Below are 24,512 nucleotides of genomic sequence, written 5' to 3'. Positions count from 1 at the left end.
TTATGTAAATACTTAACACAAGTGTAAGAAACTTGCCAACAATATAGGTCCATTTACTAATATTTTTTATGCTATAATTATTTTATGTATTACATCTACATATATTTTAAACTACGCATTGCAAAGTTATGATTTTTGCTTTAATATAAATAAAATATTTTCATGATGTAAATGAAATACATACTTTAGAGATGTTTAATGGGGAAAAAATGTTTATCATTTACCCACATATTTGCCATTTCTGATGTTATTCATTCCTTTCTGAAGATTTGTGTTTCCAAATGGTGTCATTTTCCTGTAACCTATAGAACATCCTTTATATTTCTTGTAGTAAAGTCTGCTAGTACATATTTCTCTTAGTTTTTGTTTATAAAATGTCTTTATTTTTCCTTTACTTTTGAAGTATACTTTCACCGGATATCAGATTTTAGGTTGACAGAGTCTTTTGGGGGATTTTTTGTTTTCATTCAGCACTATAAAGATAACTTGCCATTTTCTTTTGGCCGCTGGTATTTCTGATAAGTAGTCCACAGTTATATATATATAAAATTAATCCCTTGCATATAATGTATCATTATATTTTATTGGAATCAATCATATTGGAAGTCATATATTGGTTTTGCCACTTACTAGCAGTCTTGACTTTGTACAAATTACTTAACTTCTCTGGGCTTCAGTTTCTCTATCTTTGATATAGGAAATCTTTCATAGTCATAATAAATGTATAACAAATGATATTTATTATGTTCCTGGCACAGGCTCTAATAAATAACAACCAAAATAGTCATTATTATCCTCATGGTCATCATTATCATAGTTACTGGGTTGAAGTCATAGAGAAGGGAGTTCTGAAAAGCCTTAAAGATAATTTTTATTTTATTCCAGCTTGTGCTTTTCCTCTTTATCCCCAATAAAAACAGAGTCCACTTAAATTATTTCGTAGCTTTGCAAAAGAGCTTTTATGCAGTATCAACAGCATTAAAAGTACATGATAAGCTTGATATTATGTCTAAACATACTTTACAAAGAAAATTGGGCAGACATTATTTAAAGTTCTGAAGTTTTCTGTATATTTCAGTTGGTGTACTAGGCACAGAGAGATTCCTTATAATGATCCTCTCTCTTAATTAAGGATCCTGGAGTAAATAGGCACCATATCATTTACATGACTGAAACAGGGCCTCAACCAGATGGGAGTCCATAATTTTACATATTTCCCTTTCCCTAGCCAGAAAAACTGAACATAGCATTAAAGATTATAACTTAGAAGATAGTGTGTTGCTAAGAACTTTGAATATCTTTACTTCTAATTTAATGTCATATTTTTATACCTTTTAGTTTTTAAGGTAAAATGGTATTTGTGATTAGCTGTATAGTTATCAGCTTTCCTGAGATCAATAATGTAGAAGATGCAACTTACGGCCGGGCGCAGAGGCTCACGCCTGTAATCCCAGCACTTTGGGAGGCCAAGGCGGGTGGATCACGAGGTCAGGAGATTGATACCATCCTGGTTAACACGGTGAAACTCTGTCTCTACCAAAAATACAAAAAAAAAAAAAAAAAAAATTAGCCGGGCGTGGTGGCGGGCGCCTGTAGTCCCAGCTACTCGGGAGGCCGAGGCAGGAGAACGGCGTGAACCCAGGATGTGGAGGTTGCAGTGAGCCAAGATCATGCTGCTGCACTCTAGTCTGGGTGACAGAATGAGACTCCGTCTCAAAAAAAAAAAAGAAAAAAAGATGCAATTTACAAAAGGATCAACATGTTATGTATTGTCAGTGGTCATCAGTGCCTCGCACACAGTAAATGCTCAATAAATCTTTGACTGAGTCAGAGAAGACTCAGAATTTGGTTTAGTGTTCTATCTACTTCATATCTGAGATGCTCTTTTATGGTACTACAAAGAGTGTAAAGATGGGGAAAAAAGGAAGTTACAGGTCCAGTATGGTTATTTCCAGTTATCTAGGTTCCAAGACTCCTGTGCCTTGCCAGGGTTTAAAGGCAAAAGTCATACTTATTAACACATCACAAGGATTATTATTTTTGGAAAAAGGAAACTTTATATGAATATTAAAACTATAAAGAAATTCAGATTTAAAATAATTTTGGATAATTATTTGTCACAATATAGGAGTGAGGATTAAATAAAAATAGGGGTAGATATAAAGAACTCCTACAACTCAAGAATAAAAAAACAACCTGATGGAAAAATGAGCAAAGGACTTGAATAGACATTTCTCCAAAGAAGATATACAAATGGCCAGTAAGCACATGAAAAGATACTCAACATCACTAGTCATTAGGGAAATGAAAATCAAACCACCATGGGATACTATTTCACAAACATTAGAATGCTGTTCTAAAAAAAAAAAAAGAAAATTTGTGTGGCCAAGGATGTGGAGGAATTAGAACCCTTGTGCATTACTGGTACAAATATAAAATAGGGGAACTGCTGTGGAAAACAGTTTGGTGGTTTGTCAAGAAGTTAAACAGAGAATTACCATATGATCTATCAGTTCCACTTCTAGGTAGATACCCAAATAATTGAAAAAAGGGACTCATACAGATACTCGCATACCCATGTTAATAGCCGCATTATTCACAATAGCCAAAAGTTGGAAGTGATCCATGTTCTTTGATAGATGAATAGGTAAACAAAATGTGGAATATGCATACAGTGGACCCAATCTTAAAAAGCAGGAAGTTTTGACACATGCTACAACAGGGATGAACCTTGAAGACATTATGCTAAGTGAAATAAGCCAGTCACAGAAAGACAGATATTGTATGATCTCACTAATATGAGGTACTTAGGGTAGTCAAATTCATGGAGACAGAAAATAGAATGGTGGTTGCCAGGAAATAGAAAAAAAGGGGTGATGGGGAGCTAGTATTTAATGGGTACAGAGTTTCAGTTTGGGAAGATGAAAAAGTTCTGGTAACGGTTACACAACATTGTGAATGCACTTACTGCCACAAACTTTACATTTAAAAATGGTTAAAATAGTAAATTTTATGTTGTGTGTATCTTACCACAAAAGCAAAAAAAAAAAAAGAATAGCAATAGACAGAAAAGTTGGGTGGAAGGATCCATAGGAAAGCTAAGGTAAGGAAAGTGTCTAAAACATCTTCACACACCACTTTTCCTACAAGTATTGCCTTTATTTGTCCAGGGTTTACAGGGATTGCCTGGAAGTACAGGTGACAGAGGACTTCCAGGAGAGCCAGTAAGTTTATCTTTATACTTTTCTAATTGTGTCTTTCTCATAAAATACATTTACATTTCCATTATTGCTCTGCTGTGCTGTGACTGGTATGTTTTAGAAAGCAGCATTTATCATAGACACCATAGACTAATCACATAGAATGAAAAATAATAGTTTATAGTGCCTTTCTGGTTGCATATAGTCAAATATGGTGCTGTTTTTCTGGAGCTGTTAAATCTGAGCATATTTCTATTTTCAACAAATAAAACTCTGTTTTATTGAATCTCAGAAATTCTCTTTCTGAATGGCTTGCTGTTCTTATAATTATTATGTTGCCACACACGCACAATCACATTTATGAGGCAATTTCTATAATTAGAAGACCATACAGAGAGAAGCCAAATTTTACATCTGATGGGCCAAAATGTGCAAACATGACAGAAATGCAGTTACATCAACAGTACAAAAGCTTGCATCAATACAAAAACTTATGAAATCATTATGAAATAGTTTCATAAATATGATTCAATTATGGAGTTTCCATGGACGGTACGTTGTGAAAAGGAAAGACCTGTCACACCTACTTTCTTACAATTTATTCTTTTTTGCCAATGAAGTCATTCTTCTGGTTAATAGTGTCAGATGTAATGTGCTATAATGTGCTTCTAAGATGTACAATACAATATAGTCTTTCAAACAACTGCATTGATTTTATTATCGGTTGACACAAAGGTTTACAGGTGGCTTTTGTATAATTCATTTAGTTAGTAGCAAATGGAAAATTCTAACACTAAAAGAGCTATTCTTACCTTAGCTTTTTCCTCATTTATATACTTAATCTGTGATATAAGCTCTCAAACAATAAGTGAAGATTTGACAGTATTTATAGTTCTTTCCAAATAAAGAATCTTAGATATGTTGTTGATTTTTTAAGCTAAATCCTTCTTGGTTTTCTCCCTATTATGTATATCTTAACCTGCCATTTCAATTCTGATATTTATCTGACCTAAAATAATGCAACTCTCTTTAGCATTATTTACTTAAGTATATCCCCTAAAAAGTCTGTACACTGCTTGAAATCAGAGACCATTTCTTTTATCTTTGTAATCCCCTTTCCTGGTATAATGTCTGGTATATATAAGTAAGTGCCAGATAGGGATAGAAATGAGGCAGGTGACAAAACACTCATAGATTTATGAGGGCTATTGCCAACATTTTTAATTTTTATCCTTAGAACAAAGGATGTTATTAAAGGGCTCGGGCTAGCTTTATTATCAGATTATTTAGTTTATTATCTGATATCTATTTTGTAAACATCAGTCAAATTACAAAATGGAGGGAGCCAAGAATGGCTGGCTGTTGCAATAATCCAGATAAAAAATGGCAGGACCTTTTTTATGAGCAGGGAAAAGAAGTGGACAGACTAATTCAAAAGGAGATAAAACCAATAGGTAATAAAGACTCTGTATGTGAAGTATAATTCTTAAATTTCTGGCTTATTGTATTAAAGAGTTGATGATACTATTCACTGAAACAAAAAAAAACACGGAAAAGTAGGTTTGAGAATGGAAGATTATAAATTCAGTTTAACTGTTGAATTTCAGGTGTCTTTGAGAAACATGAAGTTGGCAGTTGGCTTCAGAGTAGAGGAATACACTGAAGTTAAAAAATGTTGGATTCATTGCCTATGGAAAGAGTATAGAAGTGAGAAAAGAAAAAGATCTAAGGCTGAGGCTTAAAGAACTACAACATTTACAAAACGCTGGCAGAAAAGGTTGAAACTGCACAAGAAACTGAGAGAATAAGAGGAAAATCAGACATGTAAGTTAGGAGTTTCAGCCATAAACATAACCCATCTTAAAATCTTCATGATAATATTAGATCCCCTTAGAAGTACGTAGGCATAAAGTAGGATAGGTAAACTACAGCCCTCAGTCCAGTTATACTTCTGTAAATCAAATTTTATTGAAACACAGCCACAACGATTCCCTTATGTATGGATGGCTGCTTTCATACTATAACAGCAAAGTTTAAAAGTTTTGACAGAGACCACATGACCCACAAGCCTAAAATACTTACTGTCTTGCCCTTGAAAAAAAAAAAAAGTTTGCTGACCCCTGATGTAGATTTTAATCACACACGTACAGAAAGAAAATGTCTAATCAATGCAAACCTTGTAACAAATAATGTCCCTTGGTTTATGTAGTGTTCAACCTGCACAACTGTACCCAATCGCCTTCAATAAGAGGAGAATGGTGATATTTGTCCATTCTCTCTTTTATTATTTTGTTCATTTATTCTTCCGTTTCAGAAGACAAGTTGAAAAAAAATCTCCTGACCTAAATAAATATAGTTAATATCTGTTAATTATTGAAAACTGACTTTAAAGAGGGAACAAGGGGAATGCTGTACTCTAAAATTAACTCTTCATAAGCTTGCTTTATAATATCCCCTTGTAAATTTTAAAATATTATTTTCTAGCTACTCTTTCTTAGATACCAGAAGTCATTTCCACTTACCTCAAAAAATAGTTAACAGGATTCTCAAGTTAACTAAAAGTGTATAATAAAACTTCACTCAGTTCCTCATTAGATCACTTGTAAAGATAAAGTGGCAACAGTCTCGGAAACAAAAGATAAGAGTACTCTATATCAGCATCTCAGTCAGACAAAGAGAGCAGCCAAAATAAAGTGGCAGATGAATTTCACTTACAAATGTAATTGTAAAAATCTAAACAAAAAATTAAGTAAAATTTAACCATGTATATAAAGAATTATCCACCTTAATGAAGTAAAAGGAAGAATTACAATCAAGGAAAAGTTTGTTATTAAGAAATCTATTAATATATCACAGATATAATGAGAAATACAAAAGCAAGTAGTCTAAAATTTAGCAACCATTTTTTTTTTCTTTTTTAAGACAGAGTCTCGCTCTGTCGCCCAGGCTAGAGTACAGTGGTGCAATCTTGGCTCACTGCAACCTCCGCCTCCCAGGTTCAAGCGATTCTCCTACCTCAGCCTCCCGAGTAGCTGGGACTACAGGTGCATGCCACCACGCCCCAATAATTTTTTGTATTTTTAGTAGAGACAGGATTTCACCGTGTTAGCCAGGATGGTCTTGATCTCCTGACCTTGTGATCCACCCGCCTCTGCCTCCCAAAGTGCTGGGATTACAGGTGTGAGCCACCACATCCAGCCAACCATTTTTGATTCTTTAAAAATCATCGCATGGGGGCCAAGCACGGTGGCTCACGCCTGTAATCCCAGCACTTTGGGAGGCCGAGGCAGATGGATCACTTGAGGTCAGGAGTTCAAGACCAGTCTGACCAATATAGTGAAACCCCACCTCTACTAAAAATACAAAAGATTAGCCAGATGTGGTGGTGCACACCTGTAGTCCCAGCTACTCGAGAGGCTGAGGCAGAATTGCTTTAACCCAGGAGGCAAGCCAAGATCGCACAACTGCACTCCAACCTGGGTGATAGAGTGAGATTCCATCTCAAAAAAAAAAAAAGTTATTGTGTGTGGAACACAATTTGGCTTCTAGCTGAATCCAGTCTCCCCCCTAAAAAAGATTTAAAAATCATAATGTGAAAGTTGTCAGAATCAAAATGGAGTCACTGATGTTAAGAAAATAAAAGAAAAACCTGACAAATAGAGCTGAAGGCCATAAAGACAGAGTTCTCATTCTTAGATGCCTGATAACAAAAACTATCACAAAAAATTGCAAAAATCACAACCTTGCCCAAAGGACATTTGCACCCATATACAAAAAATACTTCTGAAAAGACATCTGCCCAGCAACAGCCTGTCCAGCCTTGGACTGGTGTCACCATTGTTGTTGATATTTTTAGCCAAGGATAATCATTTCAAAACAATTATATAATCCTCATTTTTCCTTTAAAAACCATTACCTTCCTTTATCTCCCTGAATATGTGCATAGCTTACTATGGCATGCATATTCCCATTGCAATGCTCTATTCCAAAATAAATTCGTTATTTATTTTAGAGAGCCTCTTTCTCTTTGTCATTTAGGTTGACAATAGTAAAGTGTTTTCTGAGTTGGGCACGGTGGCTCACACCTGTAAACCCAGCACTTTGGGAGGCCAAAGCAGGTGGATCACCTGAGGTCAGGAGTTTGAGATCAGCCTGGCCAACATTTAGTTTCTACTTAAAAAAAAAATATATATATATATATATATACACACAAAAATTAGCCAGCCATGGTGGTGGGTGCCTGTAATCCCAGCTGCTCAGGAACCTGAGGTAGGAGAATTACTTGAACCTGGGAGGCGGAGGTTGCAGTGAGCCGAGATCGCGCCACTGCACTCCAGCCTGGGTGACGGAACAAGACTCTGCCTCTAAATAAGTAAATAAATAAATGTGTTTTCTGGTATGAAATGTAAGGAATTTGGAAGTCATCACTCCCATCCTCAAAACAAGAAAAAAAGATGGACATACTGAAAATCAACAACTCTTCTTAGATCTGTCAGAGAATTAAGGTTACAAGACAAACTACTGCCCCCAAAATGGAGAGACAGACAGGCAACTACATAGCCCACACCGGGACAGTAGGGACACTTTAAACTATAATTAGCAAATTACTGGAGACTCAGTGTAGACCAGCTTGAGTGTTAAAAAACTCAGAGAGGGCCCAGTCTTTGGGAGGCCCCTACATGTTCCTGAGTTTTACTTCCTCCCAGAGCCCTAACAGGTTCTTACTTTAAAGATAGAGAAAAATTCCCTCTGACTTCCAGCAGAGGGAGAGGGATAGTAAGCATTTTGAAAAACACCTAGAATTCTCTGATCTCCTTAACAGTTCTTGCCCTCCAGGGAAATTATTTATCAGAGAATAAACTGGTGTTTTACCAAAGACTAACTGACCTTTGGGAAAGGAAAACCTAATTTCACCTCCCTCTAGCCTTCAGCTGGAGGAAGAGAAATATTCCACTCCAGCCCCCTCTGGCCTTTGATGTGGAAGAAGGGTAATATCCAATTCAGACTCACTAAAAGACTGAGACCTAATTGTAGAACTATAGAATGCCCTTCCTACACTCATACCTTACAATCAAATCAGTGGGGTTCCTGTGCAATAACAGATTATAGCTAAAGGAACTGTGCCACAAACCCTATTTAAAGAGTCCCTCAGAAAGGCTAAATAAAACAGGGGAGTAAAAAACAATGACATTAGAGGACATTTTAGCCTGAGACACCATAGCTACAACAACCAGTAAACACAGCCTAACCCCCAGCCAGATAATATCAAATATCACATTAAAGGCCTATTCACCTTGGTTTCATTTACATTTACATCATGTCTGGCTTTCAAAAAAAATTATAAGGCAAGGTAAAAGGCAAAAACAGTCTACAGAGACAAGCAGAAACAGACTCAGGGATAGCAGACATTTTGGAATTATGAAACTGGGAATTTCAAAGTGAAAGAGAAATAAAGTCTTTCTCAAACAAAAATTTAAAGAATTTGTCACTAGCAGACCAGCAAGAAATGTTAAAAGAAGTTCTTCAGAGAGAAGAAAAGTGGCATAGGTAAGAAACTCATCTAGGAAAGGAGTGTTGGCGAAGGAATAAATAAAGGTAAAATAAAATATTTTTATAATTCTTAATTGATCTAACAGACAATTTGTACAAAATAATAATAGCAACAGTGTATTCGGTATTGTATCTCATGGATAAGTCAAATGTTATAAGGAACAAGAGGGAGGAATTGTTATAAAGTATTGGCACTACTCATGAAGTGGTATAGTGTTATTTGAAAATGGACTTGATCAATGGCCATAGCACCCTGAATGTTCTCAATCTCATCTGATCTTGGATGCTAAACAGGGTCAGGACTGGTTAGTACAGGGATTGGAGATGGCCTAGGAATACCACGTGCTGTAGGGTTTTTAAAAAAAGAAAGAAAATGGACTTGGGTTAATTGTAAATATGTATTGCAAACTCTAGAGTGGCCACTTTAAAAAGTTTTAAAAGTAGTATAGTTTGTATGCTAAACCAGGAAAGAAAATGAAATCATATAAAACGCTTAATTAAAATGAGAGGCCAGACTGGGCACAGTGGCTCATGCCTATAATCCTAGCACTTTAGGAGGCCGAGGCAGGTAGATTGCTTGTGGTCAGGAGTTTGAGACCAGCCTGGACAACATGGTAAAACCCCATCTCTACCAAAAAACGCAAAAATTAGTTGGACATGGTGGGACTCTCCTGTAGTCCCAGCTACTCAGGGGGCTGAAGTGGGAGAATCTCTTGAACCCAGGAGGCAGAGTTTGCAGTGCACCGAGATCATGCCACTACACTCCAGCCTGGATGACAGAGTGAGACTCTATCTCAAAAAAGAAATAGACATAAAAATTAAAATAAAATAAAATGAGAAGCCAAAAACATTAAAAAGAAGAAGAAGAAGACGAAAGAAGAAGAAGCAATAAAGAATAAAGACAACAAATGAAAACTAACGCAGTCCACAGTTGATATATACTAACTCAATGATATCATAGTCACTTAAATGTCAATGGTTTAAGTATACCACTTAAGAAATAAGAGATTGCCAAAGTGAATAGGAAAGCAAAACCCAATTGTATGTTGTCTTCAAGAAATCCATGTGAAATATGAAGGAAAGTATACCATGCTAACGCTATTCAAAGGAAAGCTGGAAATATTTATATTTCAGAGAAAGCAGACTTCAGAACAAGGAAAATTGTCAGGGTAAAGAGAGACATGGTGCAATGATAGCAGGGTCATTTCTCCAAGCTAGGATAACAGTACTTAATGCACCTGACGACGGAGCATCAAAATACATGAAGCAAATGCTGAGATAATTTTCAAGGAAAAATAGATGACTCTATTATTATAGTTGGAGACAATAACACCCCTCTATCAGTAATTGAGAGACCCAGCAGGCAGAAAATTAGTCAAGAGAGAGTTAGTACCGTAAGTCAACTAGATCTAATTTACATTTATAAAATATGTTATCCAACAACAGTAGAATGCACATGCTTCACAAACTGACATGGAACACTCACCAAGATAGACCAAATTCTGGGCCATAAAACACCTTAACAAATTTTTTTATTCGTGTGTTTTTTGTTTTTTGTTTTTTGTTTTTTGAGACGGAGTCTTGCTCTGTCGCCCAGGCTGGAGTGCAGTGGCCGATCTCGGCTCACTGCAAGCTCCGCCTCCCGGGTTCGCGCCATTCTCCTTCCTCAGCCTCTCCAAGTAGCTGGGACTACAGGCGCCCGCCACCATGCCCGGCTAATTTTTTGTATTTTTAGTAGAGACGGGTTTCACCGTGGTCTCGATCTCCTGACCTCGTGAACCGCCCGCCTCAGCCTCCCAAAGTGCTGGGATTACAAGCGTGAGCCACTGCGCCCGGCCAACAACAAATTTAAAAGACTAGACATCATACAATGTTTGCTCTCACACCACAGTAACAGAAAATGGCTGGAAAATCCCAAAACATTTGGAGATTAAATAATACACTTTTAATAACTTATTGGTCAAAGAAGGAGTTTCAGGAATAATTTAAAAATATTTTGAACTAAATGAAAATATAGTTTGTCAAAATTCGTGGGATGCAGTGCCTAGAGGGAAATTTATAGCACTGAATAAGAGGAAAGAAGAAATACTTAAGATTAGTAATCTAAGCTTCCATCCTAGGAAACTATAAAAGAAAAGCAAATTAAATACAAAGTAAGCAGAAGAAAATAAGTAATAAAAATCAGCAGAAATCAGTGAAATTGAAAACAGGAAAACAATAGAGAACATCAATGCAACCAAAATTAATCAACCTCAGGCCAGGCTAACCAAGGGGAAAAAAAGGAGAAAATACAAATTACTAATATCAGAAGTGAAAGAGAGGCCATCACTACTGATCTCATTAACATTAAAATGACAATAAATGGATATTATGAGCAATTCTATTTTCACAAATTTTTTTTTCTGTTTTGAGACAGAGTCTCGTTCTGTCACCCAGGCTGGAATGCAGTGGCGTGATCTCAGCTCACTGCAACCTCCACCTCCTGGGTTCAAGTGATTCTCCTGCCTCAGCCTCCTGGGTAGCTGGGATTACAGGTGCGTACCACCACACCTGGCTAATTTTTTTTTTTTTGTATTTTTAGTAGAAATGGGGTTTCACCAGGTTGGTCAGGCTGGTCTCAAACTCCTGACCTCGTGATCGGCCCGCCTCGGCCTCCCAATATTTCCACAAATTTGATAACTTAAATGAAATAGACCAATTCCTTAAAAGACGTATTTTACCAAAACTCATATAAACAGAAAGGGATAACCTGAATAGGTTTGATTTGATTTGATTTGATTTGATTTGATATCCATCAATATCTTCCTCAACCTGTATTGATAAAGAAATAGAATCAATCACTAATAACCTTCTAAAACAGAAAGTACTGGTTCCAGGTTATCTCATTGGTGAATTCAACTAAACATTTAAAGAACATATGATACCAATTATGTACAAGCTGTTCCAGAAAATAGAAACAATAGAATATTTCCTAATTATGTGAGGCCACACACATGAGGCCATTATGTGAGCATTACCTTAAAAACAAAACCAGACAAACACATCACAAGAAAACTATAGACCAATATCATTCATGAACATAGATGTAAAATCCTCAACAAAATATTAGCAAATTGAATCAAACAATGTATAAACAGAATTATGCATCATAACCCAGTGGAATTTTTTCCAGGTATACAAGGCTGGTTTAACAGTAGAATGTCAATTAATGTAATCCATCACCTCAATAAGCTAAATGAAAATGTAATATGAAAAGATGCAGAAAAATAATTTGACAAAATCCAACAACAATTCAAGATAAAAAAAAAACTCTCAAACTTGGAATAAAGGGGCACTTCCTCAGCTTTTTGAAAAACATATTTTTTAAAAAACCTTATAGCCAACATTATACTTACTGGTGAGAAAACTAGATACTTTTCTTTTAAGAACAAGGGAATAAGGAAAACATGTTCCTCCTTTGTTAAATTTTGACTCCTATTCAGCATAGTTCTGGAAGTCCTAGCTAGTGCAATAAGAAAAGAAAAGAAAAAGTATACAAATTTGGAAAGAAGAAATAAAACTGTCTTTCTTTGTATATGGCATGGCTGTCTGTGTAAAAAATCTTCAAGAACTGATTTTTTAAACTCCCGAAACTAATAAGCAGTTATAATGAGATTGTAGCATAACAGGGTATAAGTTAATATACAAAAGTCAATTGCTTTTCTATATTAACAGCAATGAGCAATTGGAATTTAAAATGAAAAACACAATACTATTTACATTAGCACCAAAAAAGAGAGAAAGAAATAGTTGTAACTCTAACAAAATATATACAAGATCTATATGAGGTAAACTTTTATCAAAGAAATTAAAGATCTACATAAATGGAAGGATATTTCATGGTTATGGGTAGAAAGACTCAATATTGTTGAGATATTAGTTCTTCACAAATGGATCTATCAAGTCAATTCAATTCTAATCAAAATCCAAGCAAGTTACATTGTAGATATTAACAGATTCTGAAGTTCCTATGGAAAGGCAAAAGACCCAGAATAGCCAATACAATATTGAAGAACAAACTTGGAGAACTGACACTGACTTCAAGATTTACTGTAAAACTACAGTAATCAAGACAGTGTGATATTGGCAAAAGAATAGACAAGTACGATTGACCCTTGAACAACACGGGTTTGAACTGCAAAGGTCCTCTTATTTGTGGATTTTCTTTCACCTCCGCTACCCCTGAGACAGTGAGAACAACCCCTTCCCTTCTTCCACCTCCTCAGCCTACTCAGCATGGAGACAATGAGGATGAAGATCTTGATGATGCTCTACTTCCACTTAAGAATACAGTATTCTTTATTCTAGCTTACTTTAAAATACAGTATACAATACATATAACATATAAAATATGTGTTAAACAGCTGCTTATGTTATTAGTAAGGCATCCAGTCAACAGTAGGCTATAAGTGGTTACATTTTGGAGGAGTCAAAAGTTGTACTCAGATTTTTAACTCTGCAGGAGGTTGGCACTGTAACCCTTATGTTGTTTTAAGTGTCGACTGTAGATCATTGGAACAGAGTGGTAAGCCCAGAAATAGAACAGTTATACTCTTTGTTCTACACAATATACACAACATATAGTCACAAATAAAATCAAGTGATCTGTGACAAAGGAGCAAAGGCAATACAATGGATAGTCTTTTCAACAAATTATGCTGGAACAAATAGATATCCACATGCAAAACGTGAATCTAGATGCAGATCTTACACCTTACACACACACACACACACACACACACACACACCCTCAAAATGAATCATAGACTTAAATGTAAAAAACAAAGCCATAAAACTCCTAAAATATAAACATAGAGAAAATCTATGTGACCTGAGGTTTGTTGATGAGTTTTTAGCTATATCACCAAAAGCACAACCCATGAAAGAAAAAACTGGTAAGTTGGACTTCATTAACATCTTTTTAAATCTGCCTTGAAAAAACACTGTTAAGAGAATGAAGAGACAGTCCACAGACTGGGAGAAAATATTTTCAAAACATATATCTGATAAAAGACTTGTATCCAAAATATAGAAAAAAAAATTAAAACTCAACAATTTTCTTTAAAAACCAGTTAAAATGTTGGCAAAAATCTGAACAGACACCACACCAAAGAAGATATAGAAATGGCATAGAAGAATGTAAAAATATGCTCAACATCATATGTCATTAGTAAATTACAAATTAAAACAATAATGACATACCACTATACATCTGTTAGAATGGCTGAAATCTAAAACTTTGATAATGCCACAGGTTGGCAAGGATGTGGAGCAACAGGAGCTCTCATTCATTGCTGGTGAGAATGCAAAATGGTACAGCCAATTTGGAAGACAGTATGGCAGTTTTTTAAGAAGCTAGGCATACTCTTAACATATGATCCAGTGATCACAATCCTTAGTGTTTACCCAAATGAGTTGAAAACTTATGTCCACACAAAAACCTGTACAAGAATGTTTATAGCAGCTTTATTTATAGGTGCAAAAAATTTGAAGCAACCAATATGAACCAATATGTCTGCTATAATTGGACCGTGTTTCCCCAAAATTCATATGTTGAAATCCCAATTCCCAAGGTAATGGTATTATAGGGCAGGATCTTTGAGGTGCTGTGCCCTCATGATTGGGAGTAGTGTCTTTGTAAAAGATGCACGAGAGAGCTAGCTCATTTCTTCTAACATGTGAGGACACAACTAGAAGGCACCATCTATGAAGCAGCAAGTGGGCCTTCACCAGACACTGAATCTGCCAGCACCTTGATCTTGGACTTTCCAGCCTCCAGAACTGTGGGAAATAAATTTGTGTGGTTTATAAGCTATTAATTTATACTATTTTGTTATAGAATCCTGAGTGAACTAAAACAATGTCCAATGAATAAATGGATAAACAAACTGTGGTATATCCATACAATGGAATATTATTCAGCATTAAAAATAAATGAGCTATCAAGCCACAAAAATGTATAAAGGAACTTTAAATGCATACTGCTAAGTTAAAGAAGTCAGTATGAAAAGGTTACATGCTGTATGATTCCAACTATATGACACTCTTGAGGGGTAAAACTGTACAGTCAGTAAAAAAAAAGATCATATATTTACTTCTTTAAGATGCAAATTTGTTTGTCACATATTTGCTAGGAATTTTAAGTAGATGAATGACTATCACATACATTAGATAAGATACCTTGTCAAAATGCTTAGCACAATATATGATACTTATGAGGTGCTTAATAAATGTTGAATGAATGAGTGCATTAAAGAATAAAAGAATGAATGCCACTCTTTTCTTTTTAATATAAGCATAGCTTAGTAAATTTATTTTAAAAACACACATGAAGCTGGGCGCAGTGGCTCATGCCTGTAATCCCGGCACTTTGGGAGGCTGAGGCAGGTGGATCACCTGAGGTCAGGAGTTCATGACCAGCCTGGTCAACATAGTGAAATCCCATCTCTACTACAAATATGAAAATTAGCCATGCGTGGTGGCAATTGCCTGTAATCCCAGCTACTTGGGAGGCAGAGGGAGGAGAATCGCTTGAACCTGGGAGGCGGAGGTTGCAGTGAGTGGAGACTGCACCATTGCACTTCAGCCTGGGCAACCAGAGTGAAACTCAGTCTCAAAAACAAAAACACACACACATACATGAATCAATTAAAGATATAATTTTGTTTATACAGAGTAAAGTAATATGCTGATAAATGTATTATGTATTTACATAATCATGTGTTATGTGTTATATTATAAAACCCATATCCAGATGAATACATTTACTGACATAGAGTAAACTTTTATTCTCATATCTTAAATTTTATTTTAATATAGGGACTGCGAGGACTGCAAGGTGATGTTGGACCTCCTGGAGAAATGGGCATGGAGGTAAATTTTTTGTGGCTAGTTCTTCTTCATAAATATTCTACTTTTTGTAAGACTCTAAGGTAAAATTAATAATTAAATATATACTATGAGGAATAATTCTATAGTATTGTTTCATATTCAGAAAAAAACTAAAATTCCATTAAAAGCAGAGATGATTATTATATGTCTAATTTTATACATATAAAGTTCTACTCTAATAATTACCTCATTGAAATGACAGAACAAAAAGTAGATAGAGCTTTCCCTTCACTGATTTAAAGTTGACTTGATAACCTTTCATCCTAAGATATTATATGCCCTGTATAGAAGAATACTGAGACATTACCCAATTTGGGATATATTTTGGAATTATAAGCCAAATTTGTTATAAATATCCAATTATTTTATTTCCATTGTTTGTAACTTTAGCACTAAATAAATCAAATTCTTTCCTTCCTTGGCTGCTGTGAAACTGCTCTCTCCTGTTGTCACTTCACCTTCTCATTAGCCTTTCTCAGTCTTGACCTGAAGTTGCCCTTTTACTTCCTTGGCTTAGTGATCATATTATCACAGTGACTTTAAGTACCAATATTACTCTGATAGCTCTCAACTTGGTAGCTGTATTTTATACCTCTCTCCTCAGATCCAATTATTGATTTCCTGTTATCTTTTTAAACATCCACCTAGATATCCCACAGACATCTACAATTCAAAATATCTAAACCAAATCCATTACTGTCCCACTGTTCTTCCTCTGTTTAATTCCCATCTCAATGAAAGATATCCCTTATACCCAATAACCCAAAACTAAGAGTCATCCTAGACTCCTTCTTCTACCTAATCCTCTCAAATCAGTGACCATTTCCTTTTGAATAGGCCTGCCCCTGCCCATTCTCTCTTAAATCTACCCTTTCCTTTTTATCCCTATTGCCAGTGTAATAGCCCCTACACTCTCATGCCATGTCTCCTCCAACTCCTATAATTCCATCTTCTACTTGTTGCCGGTTTATCATTCTTATATCATTCGTTTCCTTTAAATGTTTCAAGAGCTCTCATGGCCTTTAGGATAAAATGCCAATTTCTTAACATGATAAGTAATGGTTTACATGATTTAATTTCTGCAGACCTGTTCACCCGTGTCCCCAATAAAACTCTTCTCTTCCCTAAAGGGAAGGGAGGGGCACACATAGCATGTTTATAAATAAGGTAAATATCTCTTGGAGACAAAAATAGTTGTAACATCAAGCAATAGTAGGAACTTTAGGCCTGGAAATAGCCAGAGGTTGCAAGAACTTCTATGTTCTCAAAGTAAAGAAAACTGAAAGCTTCCCAACAAAAATGGACCCACCATGAAAGAAGGCTGGAAAAGAAGCTCTGTGTGTGTGTGTGTGTGTGTGTGTGTGTGTGTGTGTGTGTGTGTGTGTGTCTTTTATAATGTGAATAAATTTATCTCTTATTTGCATGATATTTTTATGAAACCAATAAGGAAAAGTGAATTTTTTAAGTAAGTAGATTCCTGAAGGCACTACAGAAAGGGAAAGGAAGAACAAATCCCTTTAGATGAGGTTTAAAGGATGAGAGAAAGGATTAGAAGAAATGGATCTTAAAAGTCCTAATTTTAGACGAAGTTGTCTTGACATTTAAACAATTAAAGGGTGTCAGAAAGAATCTGCTCTTATGCTATGAAGTTTATAAAGGGACAGCAATTATGCCCTTTTGGACACAGGTATCTCACCCTTGAGTTCAGTGTTACCACCATCTTCTCATGAGATTGCTATTGCCTTTGTAATGTGTTAAATTATTCTCTTGTAGGGACCTCCAGGCACTGAGGGAGAGTCTGGTCTGCAAGGTGAACCAGGTGCAAAGGTAACCTTCTAAAAAATAAAGGAGAATCTCTAAACTTTCACCATTGAACCCCCTACATTTGCTACCATTGAATCCCCTATATTTGCTAACTTGAAAGCAGGTGGAAGCCCCCAGATAAAAACAGGAAATGTTTTGGAACTCCTATTCCTTATGACAGCAGTCCCCAACCTATTTGGCTGGCACCAGGGACAAGTTTCATGGAAGACAGTTTTTCCACAGATGGAAGCAGAGCAGGGGATGGTTTCAGGATGAAACTGTCCTACCTCGGATCATCAAGCATTAGATTCTCATAAGGACTGAGCAACCCAGATCCCTCGAATGCACAGTTGACAATAGGGTTCGTGTTTCTATGAGAATCTAATGCTGCCACTGATCTGACAGGAGGTGGAGCTCAGACAGTAATGCTGGCTCACCAGCTGCTCACCTGCTGTTTTGCAGCCCATTTCCTAACAGGCCTTGGACAGGTACCCTCTACGGCCCAGGCGTTGGGGAACTGTGCCGTATGGCATGCCCTCCATAATTAGCCATGCAGTCTTAGTAGAAAAGAGTTTAATCTTTCCCTTTGTTTCTTCAGGGAGATGTTGGAACTGCTGGCAGTGTTGGAGGAACTGGGGAACCAGGTTTACGGGTGAGTGCCCCCTTGAAACTCTTTTAATACACTAACCCACTTCTTTCAGAGGCTCAAAACTTATTATTCGAAACACTCAAAAAATTGGATAATAAACCTTTCTGATACATTATAGAAAATGTTTGGTTTCATTTCATACTTTCAAAAGCTGCATCCCAAACCTTGTCCCTATTCTAATTTAGTAGTATTTACAGTCTTAACCTCATATGTCCTTTTCTCAAAATCAGGTATACTTTGCAGAACCCTTACCAAAAATGTGGAGTCACTGTGATTGTCACTAATGTTAGCATTAAGAAGAAATTCACAAATACCAGTGAACAACTCTCAGAATAGTTCCTGACCTAACAAGATTGAAATCTAATTTATAGATTTAACTTGCTCTAAAAAAAAACCAAACCTATGATCATGCAAAGTTAACAAGATGCAAGGACATAATTGTAAATTGTTGCAATTAGATAGCTTTGAGACGTTATGCTAATATAGACAGCCTTTATTTTGAGCTGTGGTAAGGAGTTTTTTCCTAAGATAATAGGGCCCAAGATAATTTTAACAGACATTTATTCACTAAAAGGCAAAGTAGGGAGATATATTTTGCATCTGGCTTCTTCCTTTTTACTTTCTCTTTTTTGGGTGGGGTGGGGTGAATGGGAAAGATGGAGCAACTATAAATATGCACTAATTAATTTACTTTTAAATAATTTTAGTATCAAGAGAGCCAGTCCTACTTTAATAGCTTCATAAAGTATGGCTCTACATTTCTGCAAGTTCCATATCTAAAAGACAACTAATTAATGTACCGGAGCCTTAGTCTTTTTTTTTTATGTATTTTAAGTTCTAGGGTACATGTGCACAACGTGCAGGTTTGTTACATATGTATACATGTGCCATGTTGGTGTGCTGCACCCATTAACTTCTCATTTACATTAGATATATCTCCTAATGCTATCCCTTCCCCCTCCCCTACCCCACGACAGTGTGTGATGTTCCCCTTCCTGTGTCCAAGTGTTCTCATTGTTTATTTCCCACCTATAAGTGAGAACATGCAGTGTTTGGTATTTTCTCCTTGTGATAATTTGCTGAGAATGATGGTTTCCAGCTTCATCCATGTCCCAACAAAGAACATGAACTCATCCTTTTTTATGGCTGCATAGTATTCCATGGTGTATATGTGCCACATTTTCTTAATCCAGTCTATCATTGATGGACATTTGGGTTGGTTCCAAGTCTTTGCTATAGTGAATAGTGCCACAATAAACATACATGTGCATGTGTCTTTATAGCAGCATGATTTATAATCCTTTGGGTATACACCCAGTAATGGGATTGCTGGGTCAAATGGTATTTCTAATTCTAGATCCTTGAGGAATCGCCACACTGTCTTCCACAATGGTTGAACTAGTTTACAGTCCCACCAACAGTGTAAAAGTGTTCCTATTTCTACACATCCTCCTCTCCAGCATTTGTTGTTTCCTGACTTTTTAATGATCGCCATTCTAACTGGTGTGAGATGGTATCTCATTGTGGTTTTGATTTGCATTTCTCTGATGGCCAGTGATGATGAGCATTTTTTCATGTGTCTGTTGGCTGCATAAATGTCTTCTTTTGAGAAGTGTCTGTTCATATCCTTCACCCACTTGTTGATGGGCTTGTTTTTTTCTTGTAAGTTTGTTTGAGTTCTTTGTAGATTCTGGATATTAGCCCTTTGAAAGATGGGTAGATTGCAAAAATTTTCTCCCATTCTGTAGGTTGCCTGTTCACTCTGATGGTAGTTTCTTTTTCTGTGCAGAAGCTCTTTAGTTTAATTAGATCCCATTTGTCAATTTTGGCTTTTGTTGCCATTGCTTTTTGTGTTTTAGACATGAAGTCCTTGCCCATGCCTATGTCCTGAATGGTAATGCCTAGGTTTTCTTCTAGGGTTTTTATGGTTTTAAGTGTAACATTTAAGTCTTTAATCCATCTTGAATTAATTTTTGTATAAGGTGTAAGAAAGGGATCCGTTTTCAGCTTTCTACATATGGCTAGCCAGTTTTCTTAACACCATTTACTAAATAGGGAATCCTTTCCCTATTTCTTGTTTTTGTCAGGTTTGTCAAAGATCAGATGGTTGTAGAGATGTGGTGTTATTTCTGAGGGCTCTGTTCTGTTCCATTGGTATATATCTCTGTTTTGGTACCAGCTGTTTTGGTTACAGTAGCCTTCTGGTATAGTTTGAAGTCAGGTAGTGTGATGCCTCCAGCTTTGTTCTTTTGGCTTAGGATTGTCTTGGTAATGCAGGCTCTTTTTTGTTTCCATATGAACTTTAAAGTAGTTTTTTCCAATTCTGTGAAGAAAGTCATTGGTAGCTTGATGGGGATGGTATTGAATCTATAAACTACCTTGGGCAATATGGCCATTTTGACAATATTGATTCTTCCTATCCATGAGCATGGAATGTTCTTCCATTTGTTTGTGTCCTCTTTTATTTCGTTGAGCAGTGGTTTGTAGTTCTCCTTGAAGAGGTCCTTCACATCCCTTGTAAGCTGGATTCCTAGGTATTTTATTCTCTTTGAAGCAATTGTGAATGGGAGTTCACTCATGATTTGGCTGTTTGTCTGTTATTGGTGTATAAGAATGCTTGTGATTTTTGCACATTGATTTTGTATCCTGATACTTTGCTGAAGTTGCTTATCAGCTTAAGGAGATTTGGGGCTGAAACGATGGGGTTTTCTAAATATACAATCATGTCATCTGCAAACAGGGACAATTTGACTTCCTCTTTTCCTAATTGAATACCCTTTATTTCTTTCTCCTGCCTGATTGCCCTGGCCAGAACTTCCAACACCATGTTGAACAGGAGTGGTGAGAGAGGGCATCCCTGTCTTGTGCCAGTTTTCAAAGGGAATGCTTCCAGTTTTTTGCCCATTCAGTATGATATTGGCTGTGGGTTTGTCATAAATAGCTCTTATTATTTTGAGATATGTCCCATCAATACCTAATTAATGGAGAGTTTTTAGCATGAAGGGCTGTTGAATTTTGTCAAAGGCCTTTTCTGCATCTGTTGATATAATCATGTGGTTTTTATCTTTGGTTCTGTTTATATGCTAGATTACATTTATTGATTCGCATATGTTGAACCAGCCTTGCATCCCAGGGATGAAGCCCACTTGATCATGGTGGATAAGCTTTTTGATGTGCTGCTGGATTTAATTTGCTAGTATTTTATCAAGGATTTTTCCACTGAAGTTCATCAGGGATATTGGTCTAAAATTCTCTTTTTTTGTTGTGTCTCTGCCAGGCTTTGGTATCAGGATGATGCTGGCCTCATAAAAAGAGTTAGGGAGGATTCCTCTTTTTCTGTTGATTGGAATAGTTTCAGAAGGAATGGTACCAGCTCCTCCTTGCACCTCTGGTAGAATTCGGCTGTGAATCCATCTGGTCCTGGACTTTTTTTGGTTGGTAGGCTATTAATTATTGACTCAATTTAGAGCCTATTATTGGTCTATTCAGGGATTCAACTTCTTCCTGGCTTAGTCTTGGGAGGGTGTGTGTGTCCAGGAATTTATCAATTTCTTCTAGATTTTCTAGTTTATATGCATAGGGGTGTTTGTAGTATTCTCTGATGGTAGTTTGTATTTCTGTGGGATCGGTGGTGATAACCCCTTTATCATTTTTTATTGCATCTATTTGATTCTTCTCTCTTTTCTTCTTTATTAGTATTGCTAGCGGTCTATCAATTTTGTTGATCTTTTCAAAACACCAGCTCTTGGATTCATTGATTTTTTGAAGGGTTTTTTCTGTCTCTATCTCCTTCAGTTCTGCTCTGATCTTAGTTGTTTCTTGCCTTCGGTGTGCTTTTGAATGTGTTTGCTCTTGCTTTTCTAGTTCTTTTAATTGTGATGTTAGGGTGTTAATTTTAGATCTTTCCTGCTTTCTCTTGTGAGCATTTAGTGCTATAACTTTCCCTCTACATACTGCTTTAAATGTGTCCCAGAGATTCTGGTGTGTTGTGTCTTTGTTCTCATTGGTTTCAAAGAACATCTTTATTTCTGCCTTCATTTCGTTATGTACCCAGTAGTCATTCAGGAGCAGGTTGTTCAGTTTCCATGTGGTTGAGCAGTGTTGAGTGAGTTTCTTAATCCTGAGTTCTAGTTTGATTGCACTGTGGTCTGAGAGACAGTTTGTTATAATTTCTGTTCTTTTACACTTGCTGAGGAGTGCTTTACTTCCAACTATGTGGTCAATTTTGGAATAAGTGTGATATGGTGCTGAGAAGAATGTATATTCTGTTGATTTGGGGTGGAAAGTTCTGTAGATGTCTATTAGGTCTGCTTGGTGCAGAGCTGAGTTCAATTCCTGGATATCCTTGTTAACTTTCTGTCTCATTGATCTGTCTAATGTTGACAATGGGGTGTTAAAGTCTCCCATTATTATTGTGTGGGAGTCTAAGTCTCTTTGTAGGTCTCTGAGGACTTGCTTTATGAATCTGGGTGCTCCTGTATTGGGTGCATGTATATTTAGGATAGTTAGCTCTTCTTGTTGAATTGATCCTTTTACCATTATGTAATGGCCCTCTTTGTCTCTTTTGATCTTTGTTGGTTTAAAGTCTTTTTATCAGTGACTAGGATTGCAACCCCTGCCTTTTTTTGTTTTCCATTTGCTTGGTAGATCTTCCTCCATCCCTTTATTTTGAGCCATCGTGTGTCTCTGCACATGAGATGGGTTTCCTGAATACAGCACACTGATGGGTCTTGACTCTTTATCCAGTTTGCCAGTCTGTGTCTTTTAGTTGGAGCATTTAGCCCATTTACATCTAAGGTTAATATCGTTGTGTGTGAATATGATCCTGTCATTATGATGTTAGCTGGTTGTTTTGCTCATTAGTTGATGCAGTTTCTTCCTAGCATCGATGGTCTTTACAATTTGGCATGTTTTTGCAGTGGCTGGTCCTGGTTGTTCCTTTCCGTGTTTAGTGCTTCCTTCAGGAGCTCTTGTAGGGCAGGCCTGGTGGTGACAAAATCTCTCAGCATTTGTTTGTCCTTAAAGGATTTTATTTCTCCTTCACTTATGAAGCTTAGTTTGGCTGAATATGAAATTCTGGGTTGAAAATTCTTTTCTTTAGGAATGTTGAATGTTGGCCCCCACTCTCTTCTGGCTTCTAGAGTTTCTGCCAAGAGATCCGCTGTTAGTCTGATGGGCTTTCCTTTGTGGTTAACCCGACCTTTCTCTCTGGCTGCCCTTAACATTTTTTCCTTCTTTTCAACTTTGGTGAATCTGACAATTATGTGTCTTGGAGTTGCTCTTCTCAAGGAGTATCTTTGTGGTGTTCTCTGTATTTCCTGAATTTGTACGTTGCAGAGCCTTAATCTTTACCTCTCTACTTAAAGGGAGAAAATATGGAAACTCTAAAAATCTGGTAGAGTGGTCATAACTGAATCAAGTTTTATTAACCCATGTAAATACAATATAGCAAAGCACTATAACTTTATGAGATGCAGTATTTACATTTCTTGAACTCAGAAACACAAGTCTAGCTATGTAAAATTCTAGAGCTACCAAATGGATATATATTACTTTAATTATCTAAAATTTATTAATATTCTGGAATCATCTTATATTTGAATTTATGACACTCTGAATCATGAAATCATCTTCAGAGCTATTCAAGGCAAATTAAATCATTCTCATTTTACTGTCAAATCCTCTTTAGAAATAAAGTAGTAGAAATAAGTGAACACAAATTTGCTATTTTCCATATATACTATGGGCTAAAAATAAAATAAGATAAATGATATAGCAAAAAAAAACTCAATCATACTCTTTCTGCTACAAAATAGGGTGAACCAGGAGCTCCTGGAGAAGAAGGTCTCCAGGGAAAAGATGGGTTAAAGGTAAATTATACTTTTAAGATTATATATAAAATAGATGTTTTGTAAAATCTTTAAAATATTAGACATCATTGTTTTTGTGTGACAAAAACCTGTTTATTATTGGCATAATTATTTCACTGTATTCCTTTATAGAAAACTTTTTTATTGCATTACAGGGAGTACCAGGAGGAAGGGGACTTCCTGGAGAGGATGGAGAAAAAGGAGAGATGGGCTTACCAGGAATTATAGGACCCTTGGGTAGATCAGGCCAAACAGGCCTTCCGGTAAGTACTGCTGGGTTCACTTTCAAATACTAAGTGAATTCACTGCCTGTATGTGTACACATGCACAAACCTACACACACTCTGACCTCCTTATATATCCAGTGGATAATTGTATATGTGAAACTGTGGCTAGAGAGAAGGAAAAGTCAAGGACTGATTATCAGCCCTCCTAAGATCCAAAGAGGAAAGATACTTTTTCCATAAGCCATGTAACTTCTGTCATAAAGCATTTATAAAGGAATGTTTT

The 24,512-nt window shown here is 36.4% G+C and overlaps 1 protein-coding gene and 1 pseudogene across 20 annotated transcripts in view; both read left to right on the top strand.

Annotated features, from left to right (window-relative positions):
• COL24A1 (collagen type XXIV alpha 1 chain) overlaps nt 1–24,512 on the top strand; it is a 427,752-nt gene that overhangs the window by 264,201 nt on the left and 139,039 nt on the right. For all 20 annotated transcript variants that reach the window (NR_146340.2, NR_146341.2, NR_146342.2 and 17 more), the window contains 6 exons: nt 3,171–3,224; nt 15,609–15,662; nt 17,454–17,507; nt 18,082–18,135; nt 23,949–24,002; nt 24,158–24,265. Coding sequence is in view for 14 of the 20 variants with exons in the window: in XM_047417004.1 (XP_047272960.1) it covers nt 3,171–3,224; nt 15,609–15,662; nt 17,454–17,507; nt 18,082–18,135; nt 23,949–24,002; nt 24,158–24,265 (378 nt within the window). In the remaining 6 variants the exon portion in view is untranslated. The remainder of the gene's footprint in view (nt 1–3,170; nt 3,225–15,608; nt 15,663–17,453; nt 17,508–18,081; nt 18,136–23,948; nt 24,003–24,157; nt 24,266–24,512) is intronic.
• RNA5SP51 (RNA, 5S ribosomal pseudogene 51) lies at nt 8,986–9,104 on the top strand (annotated as a pseudogene).

The sequence above is a fragment of the Homo sapiens genome, chromosome 1 (assembly GCF_000001405.40).
Source record: "Homo sapiens chromosome 1, GRCh38.p14 Primary Assembly".
Taxonomy (NCBI): Eukaryota; Metazoa; Chordata; class Mammalia; order Primates; family Hominidae; genus Homo; species Homo sapiens.
The sequence above is the reverse complement of the archived record's forward strand: the minus strand, read 5'-3'. Positions and strand labels throughout refer to the sequence as shown.